At 44.7% G+C, this 27,059-nt stretch overlaps 1 protein-coding gene across 19 annotated transcripts in view, besides 1 other annotated feature; it reads right to left on the bottom strand.

Annotated features, from left to right (window-relative positions):
* Positions 1-27,059, bottom strand: part of PRKCE (protein kinase C epsilon) — a 536,712-nt gene that overhangs the window by 429,481 nt on the left and 80,172 nt on the right. The gene's annotated exons all lie outside the window — the stretch shown is intronic.
* Positions 25,206-25,713: an enhancer, noted in NCBI's record as "NANOG hESC enhancer chr2:45959936-45960443 (GRCh37/hg19 assembly coordinates)". NCBI's record gives its function as "activates a minimal SCP1, AML or CMV promoter by ChIP-STARR-seq in naive H9 embryonic stem cells {active_cell/tissue: H9 hESC(naive)}" and the evidence as "EXISTENCE:reporter gene assay evidence [ECO:0000049][PMID:30033119]".

The raw sequence follows: 27,059 nt of genomic DNA, 5'->3' as shown, positions 1-27,059 counted from the left end.
CCAGGCAGAGTTGTCTCAGCAAGTGCAAAGACTCTGAGGTAGGGACAAGCTAGAAGCAGTTTCTCAAACTTTTGTTTAGGGGTTCTCACTGCTGTACCTATTGCTTGTTTTGTAATAATCCTAGCATTCAAGATTCTCCCCAAGAGTAGATAATAATTACAGTAGCAATAACATTTATTAAGCACTTAGTTTATGCCAGGCATGGTTCTAAATACTTTTCATGCAGTAATTCATTTAATGTTCAGTGTAACATCATGAGGTATGTATTACTATTCCCATTTCACAGATGGAAAAACCAAGGCACAGGGAACTTAGGTCATTTACCCAAAGGTTGCCCAGTTTTTAAGTGGTGCAGCCAGGATGCATAGAGAGGCAATCTGTCTCAGCCCATCTAGCTTTCATTCTTGAAAGTAGCCCCTTGCACCCTCAGCCTTCTCTGTACTGGTCTCCCCTGGTTCTTCAACAAAGCCTGTTGATTCCGTCTTTTAGGCCTTGCTTATTTTGTACCTCACTGCCTTTAACATTGTCCCCAGTCATTGAAGTCACTTGGATCCTACATCTGCCCCAGAGCTTCCCTTGACTAGTCCTCAAAGGCAGTTCCTTTTGTTTTTGCCAGCATCAACCTCCGTCAAGACCTGCCTTATGTACATTCAGTTTTGACAGTGGTCCTCCCCTGCCATCCTAAGCACGCTGAGGCTATTTTTTCTCCTCTCATTTCCAATGAAATGAATGAATTCCATGTGGGGGATGGGAATGTAAGGAGTTGGCAATAATGGCTTGTTTAACTGACTTGCATTGAATCTCTAAATTATCACTTTTATTTATTATTTATTATTTTTTAATAGAGACAGGATTTTGCTCTGTCACCCAGGCTGGAGTGCAGTGTTGTGATCATGGCCACTGTAACCTCTAACTCCTGGGCTCAAATGATCCTCCTGCCTCAGCCTTCCAAGTTACTGGCACTACAGCTGCATGCCACCACATCCAGCTAATTTTATTATTTTTTGTAGAGACACAGTCTCACTATGTTGCCCAGACTGGTTTTAAACTCCTGTCCACACGCAATTCTCCTGCCTTGGCCTCCAAAAGTATTGGGATTACAGGCATGAACTATGATGCCCAGCTCTTTATAATAGCTTTATTAATGGACAGTTTACCCACAATCAATTGAACACTCTTTTTTTTTTTTTTTTTTTTTTTTTTTGGAGACAGTCTCACTCTGTTGCCCAAGCTGGAGTGCAGTGGTGCAATCTCAACACACTGCAACTCCGCCTCCTGGGTTCAAGTGATTCTCCTGCCTCAGCCTCCCAAGTCGCTGGGATTACAGGCATGCACCACCTGTCTCTATAGGTGTCTCTAAATTAGCGTGATACAGGTGTCTCACCTGTCTCTAAATTAGCCTGGCTAATTTTTGTATTTGGAGTAGAGATGGGGTTTCACCATGTTGGCCAGACTGATCTCAAACTCCTGACCTCAAGTGATCCACCCGCCTCGGCCTCCCAAAGTGCTGGGATTAGAGGCATGAGCCACCACGCCCAGCTGAACACTCTTTAAATAAGAGTAAACCTTGATAAGTTTTGACACACATATACCCCTGTGAAACCATCACATAATCAAGATTATGAACATATCCTTCAGCCCACAAAGTTTCCTCATAGAGTTTATAATCTCTTGCTCCTGCCCCTCCCACACAACCTCCATCCTGAGGCAACCACTGTTTTACTTCCTATCTTATAGATTAGCTTGCATTTTCCAAAATGTTATATGAATGGAATCATATAATGTGCATTCCAAATTGTCTGTTTTTTTCACTCAGCATAATTATTTTGAGATTAATCCATCCATTCCTTTTTATTACTAAATAGTATCCATTGTATAGATATACCACAATTTGTTTATCCATTCTATCTTGATGAAAGATTGGGTTGTTTCCAGTTTAAGACTATTACAAGTGAAGCTGCTATGAACATTCATGACAGATTTTGAATGGACAAATGCTTTCATTTATCTTGAATTAAGGCCTAGAGTGAAATGGCTGGATCACATGGTAGGTTTACGTTTAACTTTTTAAGAAACTTGCAAAATGTTTTCCAGAGAGACTATACGATCAAACTTTTTCTACATCTGAAGTTTTGTACTTTCCCATCCTCTCTAATCCACCCCACTATTTCCTTTCCAGCAGAACCCCTAGAGCCTGGGAGCAGGATACCCTTAATCCTCTTCTTCCTCTCTGCCCTATCATCTGGTATTTGGAGGCATGCTTTTTCAAAGAAGTCCAGGATCCTAGAAAACAGGGTGGATCTTCATCTGATAAGCAAATGTTTATCCCTGTCTTAACCTGACTCATCCCCATCAGTCTCACCAAAGACTGGAGTCAGCATCATGTTTTAAGAATTCTGTAGCCACTCTTCCCTGCGGTCAGCCTCTATAGTCCTTGGCAGTTCATTGTGTGTCTAGTAAACGCCCAGAAGCCAGTGGTTCCCAGCGAATTAGCTGCAACTCCTTATTATACCCAGCAGTGGGGATGCAAAGTCTCCTCTGATCCTCCCAACACGGAATCCACTCTCCATCCTCCTCCCTTCTACCTTCTCCAATTCTCCGAGTGCCAACCAGTTCCAGCTGCCTTTAAGGAAGTTTCTTCTGGTGACTCCAGCCCCAAGGAGCTTTCCCTCCTCTGAACTTGACAGCCCCTGTCTGAGCCAGTTCTTTAGGACTCACTAAGCCCAGCAGCCTTGCATTTCGTTGGGCAACTAGTTTTGAGTCACTGGTAATACATACAATAATATATACAAGCCACAGAGCCGGGCCCTAGGAGGATAGACAGAGAAATCAAGGGGAATCGCTGCCCTCATGCAGCATAAAATCCAGATCAAGAATAAGACATGGTTACAACTGAAATATTTCTAAATGACCTGGTAATTGCCATAAGAAATTTGAGCTAAATATAGTGGAGGTTTGGCATTTGCCAGGCAGGAAAATGTGAGGCGCAGGAAGTCAATAAGCATTTCTCAGCAAAACAGCAGCCATTAGCAGTCACCGTAGAATGAAGGTCACTGTAGAATGAAGGACCGTGTCTTGGGCAGGTTAGATTTGCTATGACACTCAGGACCACCTCAGATTTATTTCTGTATCATATGCTTAACCTAAGCACTTCCCTTCTCTCCCTTATCTGGGCTGCAAAAATGTATTTGCTGCACCTTTATTGAGTGCCACTGTATACCAAATAGCAAAATAGTCCACTGCCCCTGAGGATCTTCCAGTCCAGAGAACAGTAAGAACTACGCACCAGCCCATTATTATACAACGTGGTTGGCGACCTTATACAATGTGGAGTGGCCACAAAAGAGGTGCAAGGGTGACTATCAGAATCATCCCCCTTGGGTCAGGAAGCAGCAGAGAGGACTGCTGTGTGCCAAAATGAGGAATTCAGCAATGCACACTCCCCTCGCCTCCAGGCCCTCCTTGCCAAGGCCCGGCCACATTACTTGCAGGCTACATTACTTGCAGTATCTACGCCGTAGTCTTGCTGCTCCCCAACCTCGAACCAGAGGTAGAAAGACCCTGAAGCCCCTGACAATCAGGTCTCTGTCCAGAAAAATCCTTCCCTCCTGGCAGCCTCGCACCTCAATCCTTAGCCAGCTTGATGCTGGCAGCCTCTCCTAGCACCGCATTGTGGTCCATATGGCGATCCAGCTGATGCTGTGTGATGCAGGACAGCTTTGCCTTCCAATGCACGTCAGCCCAGTCACGGGTACACCATGGCATTTAAATTGCAGCGAGGGACCTTTGATTTGGATGGGGAAGCTAAATTAGAAGCCTGTAACATGTTCAAAACACCTACATGAGGGATGAACCCAGGGGCAGGCCCTCAAGGGGGCAGGCACAGCATATCAATATTTATTTATCATACTTCTGGCATGAAACCAGGCCACCTAAGTGGACTAGGTGTGTGGAGGAGCTCTCAGAGCCTGGAGTTCGAAGGAATATTTTCCCTCCATAGAGCCGCAATGAAGGCTGGATTATTAACAAAAAGAGAAAGAAACCCCACGGAGAATAAATAAAGTGCATACCCCAAACACTTTAGAACAGCCACAGCCAAGATTCTTCAGGGCCAAGAACTCCTCTTCTTACCCCAGGCAACATATCTGTTCTGTAAACATATTCTAACAGTTACATATTCACACATGAAAGCAACTCACTGATCTAGAAGTCACATGCCTGGCCTCCTTGCCTCTTCAGATGAAAGAAAATAGAATAAAGTGAAAGCATCTCAGCAGCACAGAGCTGTCTCCAGGCCTCAGAATCAGTACTGCACTCTATTCACAGACCCTACCTCAAACCTGCTTTCCCCACCTCAGATGCATTTCAACAGCTCTGGGTCACTTGTTGCAACTAGCTAGCCCCAGCTCACTGCAGATCCCCCTACGCCTACAAAAGCAAATTTTGTAGGGAAAGGTAGCTAGCAATCAAAGGCAATGTGAATATAGGCCTTGTTCATCTCCTCATTCAACTGCAAAGACCTTTTTGAGCAACTGGGAAAATCTGAATACGGTTTGAGTATTAGAGGATACTTAGGAATAATTGCTGGATTTGTTGTGATCATGGTTTTGTGGTTATGCAAGAAAATGTCTTTATTTTTTTGGAGATGCAGTCAGAAATATTTGGGAGGGGAATGTTAGGATGCCTGGAGGGGAATGTTAGGATGTCTGGGATTGGCTTTAGAATATTTCCGCAAGAAAAAGATGAAGCAAAAATGTTAAAAATCTAGATGATGGGGACATGGGAGTGGGTCATACTATTCTCTCTATTTTTATAGGTGTGAACATTTTAATAAGAAAGGTTTTTTTTTAAAGCTCCAGGAAGGGAAGAATGCTATGGGCGCAGCAGCCGATCTGCAAACACAGAATGCAAACCAACAACTCAAACAACCTGGGTCAGTCTCAAGGCGGGCTCAGCACACCCTGGAATGACAGCTGGCCACAATAATGAATGGTCATAATTATGACTACAGATCAAGAAGATATGATATTACTTTTTTGGTATATTGGAATACAAGTAAATCATTTTTACCTAAAAACATGGACAGAAATGTTTTAGTTTAGTTTCAGTCTAGTACTTAAAAAGATGTAAAGTTCTCCATAAAACTTCTCTGGCACAGTGGTTGTCGAAGTGTGGCTCCTGGCCCAGCAGGTGCAGCATCACCTGGGAACTTGTTAGAAACGCACATTGTCAGGCCCAGGTACTGCCCAAGCCCTCCTTAATCAGAAACATGGGGAGGAGGGTGGGGTGAGGTGGAATTAGTGCATTTTTAACTAGGCTTCAGGTAGTTCTGAGGCTCACTGCCCTGGGGTGGTAGGTAACCCAGCCATTACCCTGAGCCTGTTAAACACACGACAGCGGTATATACATGCATACACCCTACTCAGATAAACTCTGCCCTACACCCTGTGCCCTGACCAGGAAAGTTGATGGGGAGAAGAAACAAAACAATACAGTCTCCATGAAATGTGTGTGCCGCAGGAAAGCTCCATAAACCCCAAGGACCCTCCTCCTAAGTCTATGCTCCAGAAAGCCCCATTAACAGCCGGTGCCCCATCTGTAGTTCAAAGGATGCAAACTCTATTAAAATGGGTCGTAAAAAACTTATATAAGCCACTAAGTCCCAGTACTCAGCAAACCCCACGGAGTACTCTGTCTCTGGCTGTGGCTGGCTGGCAACTTCTCCAGGCACACTGAGGTGGAGGTAGGTACCTAGGTCAGGGTGACCTGACTGCCTGCCTGCATGGTACAAAAGATAATACGCCTGCAGACGCAGGAGATGAGAGGAGGGCAGCATATGCTGGAAAACCAAGGCCCTGCTTCAGTGTCTAATTCATGAAATCACAGAATGTTCTGGCTGAGCAAGGGAGATCACCGAGACCGGCTCTCAGATTTATAGATGAGGAAACAGGCTCAGAGAGGTGAAGTGATCACCGTAACGTCATACAACCAATGAATGCACAGGAGAAAGAAATCCCAGCTTCTCTGAGTCTCAGTGCTGAATTAGTTCCATTAAACAGTGGGGAGGGGAGGGAGGGCGATATCTCAGTAGATGTAGGAGGGAGGAAGGCAAGCAGTTCAGCACAGGGTTGAGGGTACAGACCCTGAAGCCAGATTGCTGGGGTTTAAAACTCAACTCTTCTACTTAAAAGTCTTATGGCTTTGAATAAATTAACTTCTTTGTGTCTCAGTTTCCTGTTCTGTAAAATGGGGATAACGATAATATCTGCTTCATAGCAGGAATAAAATTAAATATGAGTGAAATCAGATGAATATTTAGCACATAACAAGTATTCAACACATATCAGTTATTCCATGTGATGTTCACTTGTTTTCTTGCTAATAGTGGTTAGCTGCCGGGCGCGGTGGCTCACGCCTGTAATCCCAGCACTTTGGAAGGCCGAGGCGGGCGGATCACGAGGTCAGCAGATCGAGACCATCCCGGCTAAAACGGTGAAACCCCGTCTCTACTAAAAATACAAAAAATTAGCCGGGCGTAGTGGCGGGCGCCTGTAGTCCCAGCTACTTGGGAGGCTGAGGCAGGAGAATGGCGTGAACCCGGGAGGCGGAGCTTGCAGTGAGCCGAGATCCCGCCACTGCACTCCAGCCTGGGCGACAGAGCGAGCCTCCGTCTCAAAAAAAAAAAAAAAAAAAAAAAAAATAGTGGTTAGCTTTGGAGGCTGGAGTTAGAACAGCACTGGGGGTGGGGTTATGGGAAATTTTCATTTTATTTTCTGTACTTTCAAAAATGTGTTTTGAAAAATGTTGCTTGGGTCATTTTTTAAAGTCGATTACATTCTGACATCTATTGGGTATGTATTAATCATATTCTGTCTGCAAAACCTGGTGCTAAAAGCTGCGGAGGATTTGAGAAAAGGAGAAACCACAGGCCCTCCTTCAGAGACTTGACTTTTTTGACCTGATTAGAGAAACAAGAGTTATACATAGGAACTGTTGAGAAACCAAATAAACAATATGGAAACTTTATGCAGGGTACTATGCTTGATATAAGTAGGGATCAGAGATTAACAAGACACGGCCCTGTTTTCAAGGAATTTGCAGCCTAATTAGGAAAGCAAGAGTGTATAAATAGTCCTAATATAATTATATAATGATGTGATAACATATTGAACAATTACCAGATGGTACCCACATATACAGGCTTTATTATCTCAGTTCATATTATTATGTACAGTGTATCATCTCGGTCATGTATCATGTCAGTCAATCCTCAGAACAACCCTATGATGTACACACCATTATGGCAGATGAAAAACTGAGTGAAAGACATGAGCACAGCTTTGCCAGTGATGGTGAGTAGAAGGTCATTCCCAAAAGAGGGAAGAGTATAAGCAAAGGCACAGAGGCTGAAAGGCCCAGGGGGCTTGGGGAACCAAAGGTGGTCCAGAGCGGTAGCAGGCAATGGGTTCCTGGGGAATAGGATGGGAAGAGAAACCAGAAAGGAAAGCAAGTGAGATGCAGAGGGCCTTAAACACAAAGCTAGCAGAAGGGTCTTGAGATGAAGAGTGCGTGATAGTGACACTCTGGTGATAATATTCTGGCTGCAAGGGTAGACAGGAAGGAGAAAGACCACTGAAGGGGCCTCCATGATTGCTCCAGTGAATGGTGTGGGGCCTGGTCAAAATCATGCCACCACACACTTACCAAGCATGCAATACTAATGCATATCAAGCACCTCCCACATTCAGACACTGTTCTATATACTTCCATGTATTACTCATTCAATTCTCAGAATGACCCATGATATAGGTATGATTATAGTCCCATTTCATGTGGGAAGAAAACTGAGGCATAGCAGTATTAAATAATTTGCCCAAGTTCAAAAACAAGGAAGTTGACATCATTTCACTTAATCCTTGCAACAACCTTGACAGACTCAGAGAAGTCACATAACTTGTCTGGGCATCAGCCCGGTGCAGTCTCTCTGATCCCAAACCAATACCCACCTTGGGACTCAGTTCCCTATGCAGGGGCACAGCTCTACACCAAGGCAATGGGACCGCAAATTTTGGTATGGGAAGGAGGAACTATAAGTGCTTAAATCAACAGGACACACACACAAGGCCACATCTTGTATTATTCCATCTATATAAAATACCCAGAGCCAGAAAATCCTGAGAGAGAGAAAGCAGAATAATTTTTCCCAGGGGCTGGGGGAGGGAGGAACAGAGAGTGACTGCTCAATGAGTACAGGGTTTCCTTTTGGGGTGATAAAAATATTCTGGCAATAGATAGTAGTGATGGTTGCACAACACTGTGAATGTACATTAGCGATATTTTCACTAACGGTACATTTTATGTTATATGTACTTCACCATAATTTTTTAAAAACCCTAACAGGATGCACCAACCCTTTGGGTGTAGAACAAAGGAGATGAAGATGATACATTATTCACCACTTGTGCTTAAGAGCCTAGAAAAATCAACCATGAAGAAAGAACACAGGCTGCAGACAAGTGAAGATTTTTTTAATACAGAATATATGTTCTCCCCCCAAAAGGCCTTATCCTTTTATGCAGTTCTTGACTCCTCTAAATACCTCTGGAAGAATGTTATGTGTGAGCCAGGATAAGTGGCATTTATACTTTAGTTTATCAACCTATGTCCTGTCTTCCTGTAGCAGCTGTAATGAACAGGGGGTTTAGTGCAGCATTTGAGAGCAAAGACTTTAGAAACCAAGCAGACTCATGTTCAATTCTGGTTCCATCATCTACCAGCTGTGAAACTCTGGAGAATTCACTTTGCCTCACTAATCATAGTACCTACACTTCATAGCATTCTTTCAAAAATTAAATGAGACACTGTTCATAACATGCTTATCACTAATTTTCATTATGTGTGCTATAACATTAAAATCATGCAATCCACATTGTATGATTGTCATTTCATATTTAGTACTGTGAATTCTCTTTGAGGCTGGTGAAGCCCTCTTACAATAACTTCTCTTAGTTTATGTCAGACATTCATCCATCCAAGAGATTGGGCTGTGTCCTGTAGCAGAACTGCACCCATGAGCTGCAAACCACATGCCAATGATGCTCTTTCAATTCCCAAGTAAACTGAGGCCCAGGAGCTAGAATAACGTATGAGCTGAAGATCACATCTCTCAGCTATGGGCTGCACTACAGAATTTGCTTATAGCATTTATTCTTCCTAAATAGGTTTTGCTCTGCCTAATATTAAATAGATTGGCTTTTCTGAGCACATACCCATGGTGGATCAGGGAAGATGGTTCAAGAACCCATTAAAATCCTGTTCCCAGGTCAGGGACTCAGCTCACGCTTGTAATCCAAGCACTTTGAGAAGCTGAGGTGAGCAGATCACTTGAAGCCGGGAGTTCTAGACCAGCCTGGTCAATATGGTGAAACCCCGTCTCTACTAAAAATACAAAAATTAGCTGGGCATGGTGGTGCATGCCTATAATTCCAGCTACTTAGGAGGCTGAGGCAGGAGAATTGCTTGAACCCAAGAGGCAGAGGTTGCAGTGAGCCAAGATCACACCACTGTACTCCAGCCTGGGCTACACAGCAAGACTCAGTCTGAGAAAAAAAAAAAAAAATCCTGTTCCCTCTCTGTTTTTGAAGTCCTGATAGCCTGCACTGTACTGTTTACTTGGTTTTCAAAGGCACAACATCTCTCATTGCTCTCAGGTGCATTCGCCACCTAGTCTAGCACCTGTAGGGGCTACTCCTTCAGGGCAGGAGCATCATCCCTTCCCCCTGAATCCAACACAAATCCTTGCCTCTCCAAAGCTTCCTGTTGAAGTGACTGATGTGTGTGACCAGCTCCGAGAAGACCCAAACTAGAGACTGAAGGGTAGAGATAAGAGATCCAAAAAGCCAGAGTATCTGCCCTCCCATTGAAGGCTGGGTAAAGGGACATTAGGTATTTGAGTCATACCGAGATCTAAACGTGCAGAAGGATCACATTTTGCAGAGTCAGGGATGCTGGCAGCGGCCTGCTTGCCAGGCACAGGCGTTTCTTTAATGAAATCCAGAGAAGAAGAGTGATGAGCAACACATGTGTGAAGCTTGCTTGCGCTCTCTCACGCAGCCTGAAGATGCAGGAGGCAACGTGGGGAGTCAGGCAGGCTTGACGTCACATCCTGCTTCTGCCACTCTTACTAGACTGGGGAATGCTTAGTAAATTATTGGACTTCTCTGAGCCTCAATTTCCTCACCTGCAAAATGAAAATGATGCCACATATCTTACAGGGTAGTTGTGCGCTTTGCATGAGATGATGCCTGGCATATATCCATGGATTTTTAAAGTTCTTTCACATGCCTGCCTTCAGATGTGGACTCCTATAATAACCAATGGTTGTCAATGTGTTCCCTCCCAAAAGCACCTAATTGTTGCACATCAGATACCTGATAAGGAGTTAATATCTAGAATATACAAAGAACCCCTATAACTTAATAACAACAGCAAAACCAGATGTAAGTATGGGCAAAGGACTTGAACAGACATTTCTCCAAAGAAGATATACAGGTGGCCAGTAAGCACATGAAAAGATGCTCAACATTGCTCATTAGAGAAATGAAAATGGTGGTTACTATCCAAAAAGAAAAAAAAAAGAAGACTAAGTGTTGGTGAGGATGTGGAGAAATTAGAACCCTTGTGCATTGTCAGTGGGAATGTAAAATGGTGCAGCTGCTATGAAAAACAGTAAGAGGGTTTCTTAAAAAATTAAAAATAGAATTACTATATCACCTAGCAATTCTGCTTCTAGTATGTACCCAAAAGAACTGAAGCAGGGTCTCAAAGAGATAGTTGTATACCCATGTTCATTGCATCATTATTCAATAGCCAAAAGGGGAAAACAGTCCAAGCATCCATCAATGGATTAGAAAAACCACATGTGGTATGTCCATACAATGGAATATTACTCAGCCTTAAAAAAGGAGGGCAGTTCTGACATATGCTACAACACAGATGAACCCTGAGGACATTATGCTAAGTAAAACAAGCCAGTCACAAAAGGACAAATACTGTATAATCCCACTTATGTGAGGTAGCTAGAGTAGTGCACTTCATAGAGACAGAAAGTAGAAGAGTGGCTTCCAGGGGATGTGGGCAGGGGAAAATGGGAAGTTAGTGTTTAATAGGTACTGGGTTTCAGATTTGCAAGGTAAAAGAGTTCTGGAGAGTGCATGTACAAAAATGCAAACTCACTTAAAGCCACTGAAGTATAAACTTAAGAATGGTTACAATGATAAATTTTATGCCATGTGTCATGTGTATTTTACCACAATTTTTTTAATTTGCAAAAAAAATACCCAGTTGTTTCATATTACATACTGTGGAGATGCAAGAGAATGAGAAACAAATGCCTTGGCCTCAAGAGGTTATAATCTCTGAGAAAATGAGATGAGCGCACGCAAAAGGAGGCAGGGTAAAATCCAGTGTGTCTCAGTAGTGGAGCAATCAGAGAAGCGTGTCATCAGTTCAGTTGCACAGTGGTGGGACACTGCAGAGGTGGCGGGGACTGAGGCTTGAAAGGTAGCAAGAGGCTAGACAGGTATGAGGACAAAGGAGGGCATCCAGGCCTGGGATAAGGAGAGGAGACTGAAGGGCAGGAATGCAATGACATGTTCCTGAGACGATAAGGAAGTCTGTGTCCTTGGAGAGAAGAAGCATGCTGGGAAATCATTTGGGTAGGCAGGATAGGGATGTGTCAAGCAGTCTTGAATGAAAGCTGGGTAAAATTATGCTAAGTAAAACAAGCCAGCCACAAAAGTCTTGTATAATGTCCATGGGATGCTGTGGGAAAGGCGGGACACTGAAAATACGGAGAATATTACGGGCAATGATATAATACCTTGTCCTGGCACAAACCATCAAAGAATAAGTAGCACTATCCACATTTCAGTGAGGTAGAAACTTAGGAAGACAAAGAAACCAAGTCATCTGGTGACACACAGCTGATCAGCTACAGAATAGGGAATGGATACACTCCTAACTCCAAGCATGAAGGTATAAATGTTTCCATTTCTTAGTCTTCATTCATTCTGTAAATATATTTTGAGCACCCACTATGGGCCAGGTGCCCTTCTCAACAGTGAGGACCAGAAAGGCTGCAGGAGGAGCAGATTTGGGAAGGAAAACCGAGTTTGGTTTTGGACATCTGAGGTGTGAGAAGCCTATTAGATACCCAGAGAGTTGGATATACCTCTGAGGTTTAGAGGAGTGATTTGGACAGAAGTGAAAATTCCATAATTATCAATATATAGGAATCATTTAAAGGTATGGGACTGAATATAGCTGATAGCTTTCCCTACAAATACAAATGAAAACTGAAAGAAAGCAAAACAACGAAGGAGGGAAGGGGCAGGGAAAAGGAGGGGAAGGAACATCTCGGAAAGCAGAGACAGATACTTAGGATTGCTGCCTAACTTCCTTCAGTTCCACTGTCTGATTTCTTTTGGCTATCACTTGTAGGCGTGTGATAATTAACAAGCTAATTTACAAAAAAAGAAAAAACATCTTAGCATGGTAAAAGTCCAGAGGCTTGTGACGACATCTATAATGACCTATTAGGCCATCCATTTAAATTAGTGCAGTGACCCAGGGCTAGAAAGAATTCAACTACGGTGGAAAAGAAATTCGATGCTGAACAAACTGAAATACAGAAACTGGAACGCTGATATTGTCTGCTTTCCCCACCTCACCACTGTTCAGATACTGAGGACACACTCAGGGGCTGGTCCACACGTATTATCCCTATCGGTGGTCTCCCTTAGGCTAGTCAGGGCCCAACTCTCCACCTCCCAGGCATCTCATTAGCCGCCAGATGCCAAATTAACTGGGATTAAAAGTAAAGTTATAATTTTTTTAACACCCCATACCCAGCTCCATTTGGGAGTGGTTATCTGTGCAGACCATAAACACAGAGAAGCAAAACCTCCACATGCTTTCGTTTCAACAAGAAAGCAAGCTTCCTGGAATGACAGCCAGGTAGAGATCAGGTCTCCCAAGGGCAGAGCGAGTGATGTGGGTGGGGCAGAGGGGACGAAATGTTGTTGAGAACAGGGATGAGAAAGCGAAGCACAACAGAGCAGATAGGGAAAGAAGCCTCCCCAGGGTGACTAAGTTCCAGGCAAAGTTCTGGAGGCACTGCAGGGAAAGTTGGGGTGGGCCTGTCAGGGCAGTGAGACTAAGGTATCTGTGTCCCGGGCCTCCTCTCCCCACCAGGCACTTGCTCTCCACCACCATCTGTCTCAGTCGCTGCAGGAAGGAGGGGAATACACAGAATTGAATGGTTTGCAGGACCCGCATGACAGACAGGGACAATTGTAAGATGGAATTGATCTCAGAGTCCCCAGAAAACAGCCTTCCCTGTCCCTTCAAACTCCCCTCACTCCCTGCCTCCCCATAGCACCCCAAGCAATTGTCTAAAATTCTACTCAGGGCTGTTCATTCCTTTGGGTTAAAGCAGAGGGCATATCAGAGTCATCTGGAGCACTTGGAAAAATACAGATTTCAGAGCACCACAAGAGACTCACAAATCAGAATCGCCAGGATTGAAAAACTAGGCAAATGGCTGGGTGCGGTGGCTCACGCCTATAATCCCAGCACTTTGGGAGGCCAAGGCAGGTGGATCACTTGAGGCCAGGAGTTTGAGATCAGCCTGGGCAACATGGTGAAACCCTGTCTCTATTCAAAATACAAAAATTAGCCAGGCATGGTGGTGCACACCTGTGGTCCCAGCTATCTAGGAGGCTGAGGAAGGAGAATCGCTTGAGCTCTGGAGACGGAGGTTGCAGTGAGCCGGAGACGGCACCACTGCACTCCAGCCTGGGTGACACAGCGAGACTCTGTCTCCAAAAGAAAGAAAGGAAGGAAGTAAGGAGGAAAGAAAGAAAGAAAAAGAAAGGAAGGAAGGAAGGAAGGAAGGAAGAAAGAAAGAAAGAAGGAAAGAAAAAGAAAGAAAGAAAGAAAGAAAGAAAAGAAAGAAAGAAAAAGAAAGAAAGAAAGAAAGAAAGAAAGAAAGAAAGAAAGAAAGAAAGAAAGAAAGAAAGAAAGAAAGAAAGAAAAGAAAAGAAAGAGAGAAAGACCAGGCAACTGGGTTTTTAAAGTTACTTTATGTGATTCTGATGTGTGGCCAGAATTCGGAGAAAAACATTGCCTTCTCTAGGAAATTTTTTGGAAAACAATACCTACACACACTCTACTTGATAGTCCTAATAACATCCACTACCATTGATTGAGAGCTTCCTGGCTTCCTGTGCCTGAGCTACGAATATTACGCATATTGTATCTATTATGTCTCATGACAAACAACAGGGTTGGTGTTATTATTCCCATTTGACAAGGACACTAAGCTCAGAAACATCAAGCAAGAAAGACAAAGTTACTCAGCTTGTGGTGGTCCAGGATTTGAACCCAGTACTCTCTGCCTTTCTCCCATACATCATTTTTATTAGATGCATTATCTGGAAAAAAAAAAAAAAAACACACAACGGCCAAATCTACAATCTACTTAGCTCCCGGGAGGCAGGCTCCTTCCTGTACACTCAGGTCTGTTCGCCCTTCACCAGGCCTGGGGATGAGGTCATGCTGGTGCTTGGGCCATCTCTGACCAGGCCAGTTTCCTATTTCTAGGGCCCAAGAGCCAACAGAACATCTGTAGGAACCAGAGCCGGAATCAAGCTCTCTGTGGAGTCTGCTAATGTGGATGTGTTGGCTCAAAGTATCTGGACTAAACACAGTCTTAAAAACCTCCTGCTTAGGGCAAGGTTTTGAAAGAAGCAGTCGGGGGAAAAGATACCCACGCCCACAATACGGATGTGAGGAATAAGTAAATGTACACAGATGTGGCCAGGCAGGGCGGGATCTGAAAGATAAACCAGAGTTGGCTCAGTGGGAAGGGATGAGCTAACTTCCTACATCAGCTCCCCCTGGTTCCTTTCTCCGGAGCAACTTCAAAGGCAAAAAAGCATCAAGTCTACTCTCGAAAGCTCCTGGGCCTCTCTCGGTGAGGGGTGGGAAATAGCTGGAGAGAAAGACTTCCATCAGGTGGCTCCTGGCTATTTTTCTTCAACTTTATTGAGGTATAATTGACAAAAAGTGTTTACATTCAAGGTGTACACCGCGATGTTTTGATATAAGTGCACATTGTGAAGTAATTACCACAATCAAGCTAATTATCATATTCACCTCACCTACTTTTTTGTATGGTGAGTATAGTTAAGATCCACCCTCTTGGCAAATTTCAAGAATACAACACATTATTATTAACTGCAGTCATTATGCTGTACATTAGGTTTCCAGAACTTATTCATCTTATAATTGAAAGTTTGTGCCCTTTGACCAACATCTCCCCATTACCCTCACTCCCCACCCAGCCCCTGGCAACCACCATTCTATTCTGAGTCTGACTTGTTTTGATTCCACATATAAATGAGATCATGCAATATTTATTTTTCTATGACTGGCTTATTTCATTTAGCCTAATATCCTCAGGGTTCAGCCATGTTGTTGCAAATGGCAGGATTTGCTTCTGCTTTAAGGCTGAATAATATTCCATTTTTAAAATCCTTCCATCTGTCAACAGACACTTAGGTTGTTTCCATATCTTGGCTACTGTAAATAATGCTGCAGTGAACACGAAAGTGCAGATTTCTCTTTGAGACAGTGATTTTATTTCCTTTGGATACACACCCAGAAGTGCGATTGCTGGATCATAAGGTCATTCTCTGATTTTTAAAGGAACCTCCATACTGTCTTTCATAATGGTTGTACCAACTTACATTATCACCAACAATGTAAAGGGATTCCTTTTTCTCCACATCCTCACCAACATGTTATCTCCACATCCTCACCAACATGCAGTATTATCTTTTTGATAATACTGATTCTTACAGGTGTGAGGTGATAGCTCATTGTGGCTTTGATTTGCATTTCTCTGATGATTAGTGATGTGGAACACCCTTTCATATACCTGTTGGTATATGTCTGTCTTCTTTGGAAAAATGTACATTCAAGACTTTTGCCTAGTTTTTTTTTTTTTCTTTTTAGAGATAGGTTCTCTGTCACCCAGGCTGGAGTACAGTGGCATGATCATAGCTCATCGCAGCCTTGAAATCCTGGGCTCAAGCAATCCTCCTGCCTCAGCCTCCCAAGTAGCTGGAATTATAGGTGCAAGCCACCTTTTGCACAGGTTTTAATCCAGTTGTGTGGTGTTTTTTTTTCTATTGAGTTATGTAAGTTCCTTATATATTTTGGATAGTTACCCTTATTGGATATATGGTTTGCAAATATTTTCTCCCATTCTGTGGGTTTCCTTTTCGTTTTGTTGATTGTTTTCTTTGCCGTGCAGAAGCTTTTTAGTTTGACATAGTCCCACTTGTTATTTTTGCTTTTGTTGCCTGTGCTTTTCGTGTGATATCCGAGAAATTCCCAAGAATGAGATGGAGAGCACCTGGAAGCAAGAACACAGAAAGCCCACACTCTAACCACAGCCTGCCTTCCTACATCCCTTGCAGCATAGGACACACAGTCAAGTGCCCTCAGGCTGACCAGGTAACAAGCATTACAGGGGACTTCCGCCCTCTTTAAAGGAGAGACCCTGGGTAACCCATGGCCTTCTGGTAGCTCTCCACATGCCCACTGAGAGGACTGTGCTGGAACAGAGAAGACCTGTTGAGCTTCTCTGGTCACCCAGTGGTCATGCTGGCAGCTTTCCTGGGTAATCCAGCACAGGCTGTACTAGCCTTGCACCACCCCTTGAACCTTCCCTTCCAAGACCACAGCCCGCAGCCTGTCAGCAGTACCTTACAGCCTGGGCACAGGCCCAAAACTTGCACATGCCCAAAACGTGCACATGCCCATCTGCCAGGCTGAGCCGGCAAAGGCTCCAATCTGATTGGTAGAAACTGGCTGAGGACCGTGTCAGACGTGGAGAACAGACCTCGTTCCACCAGAGCATTGCTGGTTTCTCCCAGAAGAACCTTGGCTCTCTGTCTGCCAGGCCCCATTCTGGTGCTACTGGCCCCAGGAAGATTCTGATATTTGTCCCCAGTCGGCCCAAGACCCTGTCTTACTGCCTACAACTGACAGGGTGTTTTATGCAACTTTAAGGCCAGAAAGTGTCAGATCTGGGTGTGCTGGAAGCAAACTATAAACAACCATGAGGAAAAGATTCTCAGAAACTTTGTTACAGCTGTTCAATTGGATATTCCAGCTCATCAAAAATATCCCCTCATTGCTGAACATACAAAGGTCCACCCTGGCTCCAGATCTTACCTACAGCCTAAGACTGCTTCCATAATTACAGACTCCTTTACAGGCACCGATAGAAGCAATCACATTTGGGATCCCCGAAGCCAGCATTCAAATGTATCAATTCCACTAAGGAAATTTCCGCATTTAATTTTAGCAACTGGTGAGCAACCTTTTTAATTTTTTCACAAAAAGATCATTTCAGAAAAAATAAAAGTGTTTGCATCTTATATAGAGAGATTTTTTCATCAGATGTTTTATATCAGAAAATGTAATATCTACAATGGAAAGTATTTATTACCTCCATGTCAGTAAAGACTTTCACTGAGCAGAAGGCTACTAAAACTTCACAAACCACTCTGTAATCTGCATGTTATACAGTATCTCCTTGTAATACTGCACTTTCAAACAACTGTGGTCTGAGATGAACCCAGGTAGAATCAGAATGAGGCAGGGAGAGACTGAAACATTTGGGAGTGTAGTGTTCGAAGTGAATAACCAGACATGAATGAAAAAGGAAAATGCTCAGATTGTAATGAGATGAGCTAGAAGTAACTAGGGAGGAGTTTGAGAGAATGGGGAATACAAAAACTGGAATGGAAAAGACTGAAAAGTCAGGCCCCTGGGGAGATTCCTGGAGCTGAGGATGCTCTGTTTGAGGAGGGCTTGCAATGGGCAGGGGGAAGGGTGCGTCCAAGTGGGGCCTAAAGAACGTGTCAGGTGGTTGGGGAGGGAGAGGAGTGAGGGGGAAAGAGCATAAAGGAGAAACAATGCTGAACCCTGAATGCCAGACTTTTCCTCTCCCCTTCCAGCCTATCAACTGGCTAGGAAGGATCATTCTTGCTACAGAATTGGAGTGGAGATAATGATGCTTCCTCCTGAATATTGCCCTAAGCCCTCTGCCTCCATCCCAGATTCCCACATTCCCTAGGGACTCCTGACTAAGCCCAAGGAAGGAGAGTTAGGGGCACAGCTTCACTGCTCCAGTCAGATAGTGGCAGCAGCATAAGGGCCACTGGTTTACTCAGTTCAGGGACAACTTGTTCATTTTCCAGTGAATAAGTCCTTTTTTTTTTTTTGAGATGGGGTCTCATGTTGCCCAGGCTGGTCTTAAACTCCTGGGCTCAAGTGATCCCCCAGCCTCAGCCTCCCAGGTAGTTGGGGCTATAGGCACAAGCCACCATGCCTGGCTGACAGCCAATTATTCTTGAATGAATCTAACACTTTGTGGTTTCTTGTTCTTGATATTAGATTATGGTGTATCTCAAAGCTACTTAGTTCATCACAGCTACAGTATTGATGCTCATTAAGATGCAAATCCCATTGTCAAACAGGCCTAAAGAGGATTTAAGGTTTTTTGTTGTTTTTATTCAAGTATAATTTACATACTGTGAAATTTTCCCTTTTTAGTGTAGAGTTCTGTGGATTTTGACAAATATATACAGTCTTGTAACCACCACCACCATCAAGATCTAAACAGTTCATGCCTCAAAAAATTCCCTGGGCCCCTTTGTACTCAATCTTGTACCCCCACCCCACTCCTGGCAGCCATTGATCTATTTCCTAACCCTAGAATTTTGTCTTCTCCAGAGAGCCACATACATGAGATAATACAGTATATAGCCTTTTCAGTCTGGCTTCTTTCACTGAACATAATTTTTTTTATATAAACGTCAGGTTTTTAAAAAGGAAGGGAGGAAACAGAATTTTAAGAGACTGGACATTAGATGAGTCTTCAGAATTAGCTGAGTCCTCTGCAGGCTGTAAAAGGGTACAGAAAAAGGAAAGTTGAAACCCCAAATATACAATCTGTTCCCTTTGCGACTGAGTCAACAGCTGCCCCTAAACTCAAAAAAGGGCTCACACAGGGACACTCTTGGTCACAAGACAGGCACTTCAGTCTTCTGTGTGATCTTAGAAAAGTCACTTAGCTTTTCCAAGGCTCATAATTTTCTCCTCTGTCCAATGATGTCCAGACCCAGCCACAGCAGTGGACCAAAGACGGGCCTTCCCAGTGACTTCTGCTAAAGCTACCAGGAGAGATACCCTCTCGTATCATTCTGTAGGTTCCTAAAATATTAATAGTTGAATTTAAGCCTGGAGAGGCTGGTGGCCATTTGTGCCACCACTTGGGAAGATCTTGTCTGAGAATACAGCCAGCCAGAAGACAGCAGCCTGGAGGGACAATGACAGCAATATGATGACTTCATATGAGCACTGTCATCCCACTTTGCTTCCATCTATCCTTGGACTGGTACATGAACCAACACTGCCCCTTAATTTGCTTAATAAAAATAATGCATGAACTACCTATTACTTTGAAGTGTGGTGAAGATCACGAAATAACAGCTGTGATTGAGCCGTGTAAAAACTACATAGCTGTTGGATATTAAAATTCATCTATTTCAGTCTCTAGAAACATGCTTTCCAATCCTGTACTTTTAAGAGCTGTCATATCTTAATGCCCAATAACTGTAAGGTTAAAAGCAAAACACTTAGGCCATATATGACAATCAAACATCTCAGAGTTATTCACACCTTAGGCCCTCATAGAAACTCACACTGATCCTTCCCAAGATGCTCAAATTCAGTACAATTCAGCCAATACTGAGAACAACGTACAAGGCTAAGATCTGTGGTTATATAAAGAATGACAAGATATAATCTCCATCATAAAGGCAATCCAAAAGAAAGAGAAAACACGTCTGGTTGCAAAAATCAGAAAAAGACCCTTGAAGACAGGTTATCTGAAAACAGTGGGATTTCAAACAGTGGAGGAGAGGAGGAAGGGCATTTCGGGGAAGGCAAGGCATGAGCAAAGGCAGAGAGGAAGGAAATACACAGCTTAAGAAGAAAACAGCAAATCAGCTCTTCTGGCTGAAGTGTACTTTATCTACAGGTGTAAAGAAATTAAGTCAGAAAGACTGGGTAAATGCCATAAAAGGCTCTAGTTGCTATGCAAGAAGTCATTGCTTAATGCTAAAGCAAAGAGAAAACCCTGAAAAATAACATCATTAAAACTATGTTAATTAATGATTTTAATTAACATAATTAAAACTGTAAATCTGGTAATAGTTGCAGGATGAAGCTAGAGGTGGGAGAGATTGGCAGCAGGGAGGCCAGTTAGGAGAAAATTCCAAGAGCCCAGACAAAAGGTTTGCGTCGCCTGCAGCAGGACTGTGGAGAGGAGGACGCTGGCATAGGAGGCTGTCAGGACCTGCCAGGAGGTGTTGAGCACATGGGGAAAAGGAATGAAACAAAGGGTTCAAGCCAGGGAGATGGAAGAATGGAGGTGCTGTATAATCAGGAAGGGGTGCTAAGGTTGGGGGAGGGATGTAAATTTGTTCCTGGTTTTGTTGAACTTGGGGCGATGTCCAGGTTGAAATGTCCAAGAAGCACTTGGCAATGTACGCAAGTCAGCAGAGGGGGTGAGTCTTAGGCCCCAGGTGGAGGTGAGGGAGGGCCCCGGGCAAGACAAGCTCTGTGGACAGAGCAAGGAGAGCACACCTGAGGGCAAGGGGACATGCAGAGAGCATGTGATTGGACCTGACTCCACCCTGACATTCTGTGTCTTAAGGCTCCAGGGGAGAAGGGGGCCAGGTAGGGCAGACGCTTGGGGAACATCTACACATCACAGGCGAGAGGATACACCTGGAAAGAGGCAGAAAAGGAGCCGAGAGGTCCTCCGCTGGGCAGTTGCGAGGAGGAGCCCCGGGCCGTTGGCAAATCAGCCCCACTCCGGGTCTCCCGCTTCGTGAATGGGGACACTGTTCCCACCCGCACAAAGGCTGGACAGGTAGTGGATGTCTGAGTGCTCCGAAGAAGAGCACAGCGTGTTCCAGGACTGGCAGGCCTGATTCCGCCTGGCTTCAGGCAGGGTGGGGAGTGAGGGATGACTCCTTGAAGAGTGTTTGGGAGTTCCTGATTTATCCAGAAGATGAGAGGAATCTGTAAGTGAGCCAAGACGTGGGCCAAGGGTAATTCATGCTTGCTCGCTCGCTCACCCACCTCCTTCTCAGGATTTCATTTTGAAGACAGCTGCGTGGGAGAAACATTTGGTCTCAAGTTGGCAAGGCTAGCATAACCACACTTCCTTGGAGAGAGTCGTCCAGCCCCCAACCCCATGCTGCAGGGGAGATGCCGGTGGCCAGGTGTGGGGCCTGACAGCACACAGGCAGAGAGATGCACGATGACCGACGACCGTCCATCTCCTGAAGGCGGCAGCTCCCTTTCAGCATGGCCGGGCCCCTCTTCCATCTGCTCATTCCCCCAGTCATTCCCATTTTCTGGGACTGGGATTTGGGCTTTATCCACTCAGTGAAGTCTCCCCTGATCACCTTAAACCAAAATGATCCTTACCTCCATCAGACTTCTGAAGCCTCTGAGGATGCAGAATCCACAGTCGCTTACCATCACTGCCTAGTGTTCCTATCCATAAATTCTTCCCACAGAAATGTCCTTCACATCTACTGGAGGATGCTCAAGGAAGGCGCACATGCAGGACAATGAGAGGAAAGAGGTTCAGCCCTTCCTGTTCTCCAGAAACTTGACTGTAAGAGGAATGAGGATAGCCCCACTGCGAACCACAACACATGGTAGAAAGTGAGAGGAGTTTTAAAGTTGATGGAGAGGCAGGCAGTGTCAGGAAGTCAGAGCGAGGAGTAGACTCCAGGGCAGGGGAACTTAGGAAAGCCTTCCTGGAAGAGGTGACTGCTCCACGTCTAATTTGCCTAATAGACTGATTTTTCTGTAAGCAACTGCCCTTCAAGCCCTGGCACACAACAGTAGTGAAGAAAAATGCTTTAGACAGTATGATCTAGTCACAGGAACACCAGCCCTGCTCTCACCCAGAGCAGCCTTCCAACTCCCGCCTATCATGTAATAGCTCTCTGACCTGGGGCAAGTGACTTAATCTCTCACAGCCTCAGTTTGCCATCTCAGAAATAAGAATAAAAATGTGTATGTCGGTCAGGCACAGTGGCTCACACCTGTAATCCCAAAACTTTGGGAGGCAGAGGTGGGTAGATCACTTGAAGCCAGGAGTTCAAGACCAGCCCAGCCAACATGGTGAAAACCTGTCTCTACTAAAAATACAAAAATCAGCTGAGTGTGGTGGCAGACACCTGTAATCCCAGGTACTCTGGTAGCTGAGGTGGGAGGATTGCTTAAACCCAGGAGGCGGATGTTGCAGTGAGCTGAGATCCCACCACTGTACTCCAGCCTGGGTGACGGTGAGACTCTCTCTCAAAAAAAGAAAAAGAAAATGTGTATGTCAGATGGTAAAAAATACATGGGACAATATATAGGAAGACTTGGCACAGTGCCTAGCACATAGTAGTTGTCAAATTAGCATTAATTTCCTTTCTCCACAACCCTCCGCAACTCAAGAATGAAAGCCTTGGCCTTTATCCTCTCATCCTTACCTCCTGCCTGGCGTCTATGTTCCCCAGAATAAGGATCCGGCTTGCCTTCCTCATTCATTCCCATGTGCACCTTCAGACAAGTGCACAAAATGTTCATGTTCTAAGAGTTATTTTCTCTTTGGTTCCTCCAACACTTTGCTTTCCTGCCACTTCCCATCTCCCTGAGCTCCTTTCCCTTCCACAAATCTGCTAAGAGCCAACACTCACACAGGCCTGTGCCAGGCACCTCGGCACCACTTCACTTAATCTGCAAAACAATGCTATGAGGTGAATGCTACCATTACCACCATTTTACAGGTGATGGAGCCTGGGTACAGAAAAGTCAAATGACTTGCCTATGGTGACCAAAGCTAATCCATGGAGGAGGCAAAATTCAAACCCAAAGTCTATGGTCTTGACCCCAAACTGTACTACAAGCTGTCTTACAGCTGCTTTGATTGTTCCTTTTTGCAACTAAACAGTTCCGAGATATATTTGTTCATATGGAAGTGATAGTCTCTGAGGACTCTGAGCCAAAGGAGAGCCTGCATCAGGAGGACGATGTCTAACTCAAGCTGGAAACCTCTAGTGGTGGGAGATATGGCAGACTTGCCATGCGTGGAACCAAACCAGCCTGCAGGGGTGATGGACCACATGTGGTGTTGCAATCACATCATGCGCCCAGGGCTCCAAGGGACCTGCCCACATCACAGGCCACTGTTTCCACCAGATGCTGGCCTGGCCCAGTGACTCTGAGAGGGAGATTAGCATGTAGGAGGTTTATTGAAGACTGTTCTCAGAAACAATCTAGGTGGAAGGGGTGATAGAAGCAGGACTGGGCAGAGGGAACAGGTGGGCTGCGACGCAGCTGTAACAAAAGTCCTAGGCAATCCCGAGGGGAGCTCTACAGCGAGGATGGACTTGGAGAACTGTCTCATTTTGGGGAAAGGAGGCTAGACCTTTCCCATAAACCAGTCTTTCCATGAGGGCTGCCCTCAGGAAGGGGCTTCTCTTCTGCTGAGGCAATAGTCCTGGGGAGGAGGGGCGCAGCTGCAAGCTGTCAGCAGCCCACACTCCCAGCAGTTGGGGAGTGAGTACTTCAGGCCTGCAGGGGGGATCTGCGCATCAAAAAATCCACCCCTACACTCAGGCTCAGGGTTCTCTTAACACACAACAGAGGCCCAGGCCAAAAGTCCTGTTGCTCCAGGAAGGCGGAGAACACACGGACCTGTGTAACCTCATCTCCTTTTGTGTTTGTCAGATTCCCAGTCATACCATCAAGCTGCTGCTTCTCTCACTGGCATTTGCTAACTTCCAATGCTCACACCACTTAACGCAGACAACCCCCCCGTTTACATGGATGAGTATACTGTCTTTCAGGACTGCAAGCATTACGTAAAATCAGGCTCAACTATAGACATGGAACTGAATTTCAGAGTTTAATTTTTTTTTTTTTTTTCTGAGATGGAGTCTTGCTCTATTGCCAGGATGGAGTGCAGTAGCGCCATCTCTGTTCACTGCAACCTCCACCTCCCAGGTTCAAGCGATTCTCCTGCCTCAGCCTCCCAAGTAGCTAGGACTACGGGTGCACGCCACAACGCCCAGCTAATTTTTGTATTTTTAGTAGAGACGGGGTTTCACCATGTTGGCCAGGATGGTCTCAATCTATTGACCTCATGATCCACCTGCCTCGGACTCCCAAAGTGCTGGGATTACAGGCGTGAGCCACCGCACCCAGCCCAGGGTTTAATGTTTTCCACTGGACTGCACTTCATAATTACCCAGCCTCAACTGCGCAGCCCACATGGTGCCACCTGCTATACAGCAGATATAAAAAGTGTGAGATGGCCCCTGCCTTCCAGGAGGTTTTCCTTGAAGCTAAGACCACCCCATGAAACTGCTACACAATGAATGCCATGTGCACAGGCTCAAAGCAAAATCGTTGTTCTGAGAAGGCAGGGGCCAGCAGGCCCCAAGTGGCCTTATGACTTGCAGAGCAGAAAGAGCCCACCGAGGTCACCAGCAGAGCCATGCCTGGAATCCAGGTCCCTTGAAGCCCCGAGCGCTTCCTACTACACGACTTTGGGGGAAGAGAGACTCTTAGCTGCGTAGAAAGAAAGCTGATAGTGGAGACGGTGAGAGGGAGGAGAGAGGGCATTTCAGGCCAGCCACTAGGCTGACTCCATGACCTCCTTCAAGTCTTTGCTCAAACCTCACCCTCTCAACGAGGCCAGTGCTGACCAGCCCACATAACACCCCAACCTGGCCACTCCGCACCTCCCCAGGGAATTCCAATGCCCCTTACCTTGCTTAGTAATGTCTCTTTTTCCGTGGCCTTTATCATCTTATCACATACCCCACCATTTATGATTTACTGTTTCTTGCGTATTATTTGTCTTCCCTTGCTAAAATGTGAGCTCCATGAGGACAGAGACCTTATCTGTTTTCTGTGCTCACATATCCCAAGCTCCTCGAATCATGCCTGGCTCACAACAGGCACTCAACAAATTCTTGTTGAATGAATGAATGAACAAGAGCTAATATTTGTTGAGCAGTTACTGTGTACCAGGACAGGGCCAGCCACCAGGGGAAAGGTGGGAAGCAAGTCAGAATCTCTGCCTGCATCAAGCTCACATGCAGTCAGTCTGATACCTCCTCAGCCAGCTTCTGAGAGAGGAGTAAACTCTCAAGCCCTAAGCCACAGGGATCACCAGTAAACCGCAGCCCCAGGGCCAAATCTCAGTCACTGCCTTTGTTTATAAATAAATTTGTTTATTTGTATTGTCTATGGCTGCTTTTGCACTACAATGGTAGAGCCAAGTTGTTTTCGCAGAGACTCTGTGGCCCGCAAAGCTAAAAATATTTACTCTCTGATCCTTTAAAGAAAGTCGTCGACCCTTGATCTAGGACATCCATTAATTATAACGATTTAACTTCTCTCCTGTTTATCTAAAATTACCAATCATGTACCATCTTTAGGAGAACTCAGAAAACAGTTCACTCATGTCGGTTTTTTGTTGTTGTTGTTGTTCTGTGGTCAGATGAGGAATCTTATTTGAGAAAGATAGTGAAAGAGACAGATAAACAAATAGGAAAATACCAAATAGTGTGTTAGGTGCTGGCTGAGGAAGGTGCAGGCAACACACTACAGATGCACATAGAAAGCTATGTGTAGCTGGATTTGGAGGATCCGGGAAGACTTCCTGGAGGAAGCAGCATCTAAGATATTATAATGATTATTGTTACCACTACTACTACTGCCCAAAGTAAGCTATAAGTAAAACATATAATATATATTATAGACTGACTTCAAACCTTTTTTCAAAAAGGTGGATATCAATGGATGAATAAACCTATTTAATACAGGTAATGACCAATAATACTGTATTTCATTATTTAGTAAGCTCCTGGTTATATGATAGGTACTCTGAAACATAAATCTGCCCTGTGAGTTGATACTAACATATGAAGAACCTCAACATATCCAAATATTTTAACACTAACAACCTGGGTAGAATGTACTTAAAATGGCATTCAGGGCTCACCTATAGAAAAACCTGAGTCCCTGAGACATGTCTGTCCCTAGCCTCCCGACATGGAGCCCTTTGCCTGCCCTAGGATGTCCAGGGCCCCCATATTCTTTCCTCCCTCTCCAATGACAGTCTGTTCCAAAAAAAAGCTCTCATAAATTTCATTTATACTGAGGTTCACATGACTGATAAGATGGTATGGCCCTTCTCTAGGACATCTGTATTTTAACTACTCATAACAAGGTTTAACTTACAGGAAAGACTTTCTAAGGGTGGAATTTCTAGGACTGTGGCTGACAGTGAAAATGGAGTTCTGTGGAGTAGGAGGTCATTCTGAAAGCCTAATTTGAATCACATGGCAGTCTGTAGCAGTAAAAAGCTCCAGGAATTGGCCAGGTACACTGGTTCATGTCTGTAAACCTAGCACTTTGGGAGGATACCTTGAGCCCAGGAGTTCAAGACCAGCCTGGGTAACACGGTGAGACCTTGTCTCTACAAAAAATTCTAGCCAGGTGTGGTGGCACACACCCATGGTCCCAGCTACTTGGGAGGCTGAGGTAGGAGCATCACTTGAGCCTAGGAGGTCAAGTCTGCAGGGAGCAATGTTTGCACCACTGCACTTCTTCCTGGGCAACAGAGTGAGACCCTGCCTCAAAAAAAAAAAAAAAAAAAAAAAATTCCAGGAATTCAGAAAATTCTTGGTTTTCAGGCTTAGGTTTCCCCATTAGTAACTACAAAATCCAAGACACTTAATGTCTCTGAGTCTCTTTCTCTCATGTCTAAAATGAACTTGAGAATTAAGGAAGGAAACTCAACTTCTCCCAGTTTCCTGAAGAGACTCAGT

The sequence above is a fragment of the Homo sapiens genome, chromosome 2 (assembly GCF_000001405.40).
Source record: "Homo sapiens chromosome 2, GRCh38.p14 Primary Assembly".
Lineage (NCBI taxonomy): Eukaryota > Metazoa > Chordata > Mammalia > Primates > Hominidae > Homo > Homo sapiens.
This window is presented reverse-complemented; position numbering and strand designations above follow the sequence as displayed.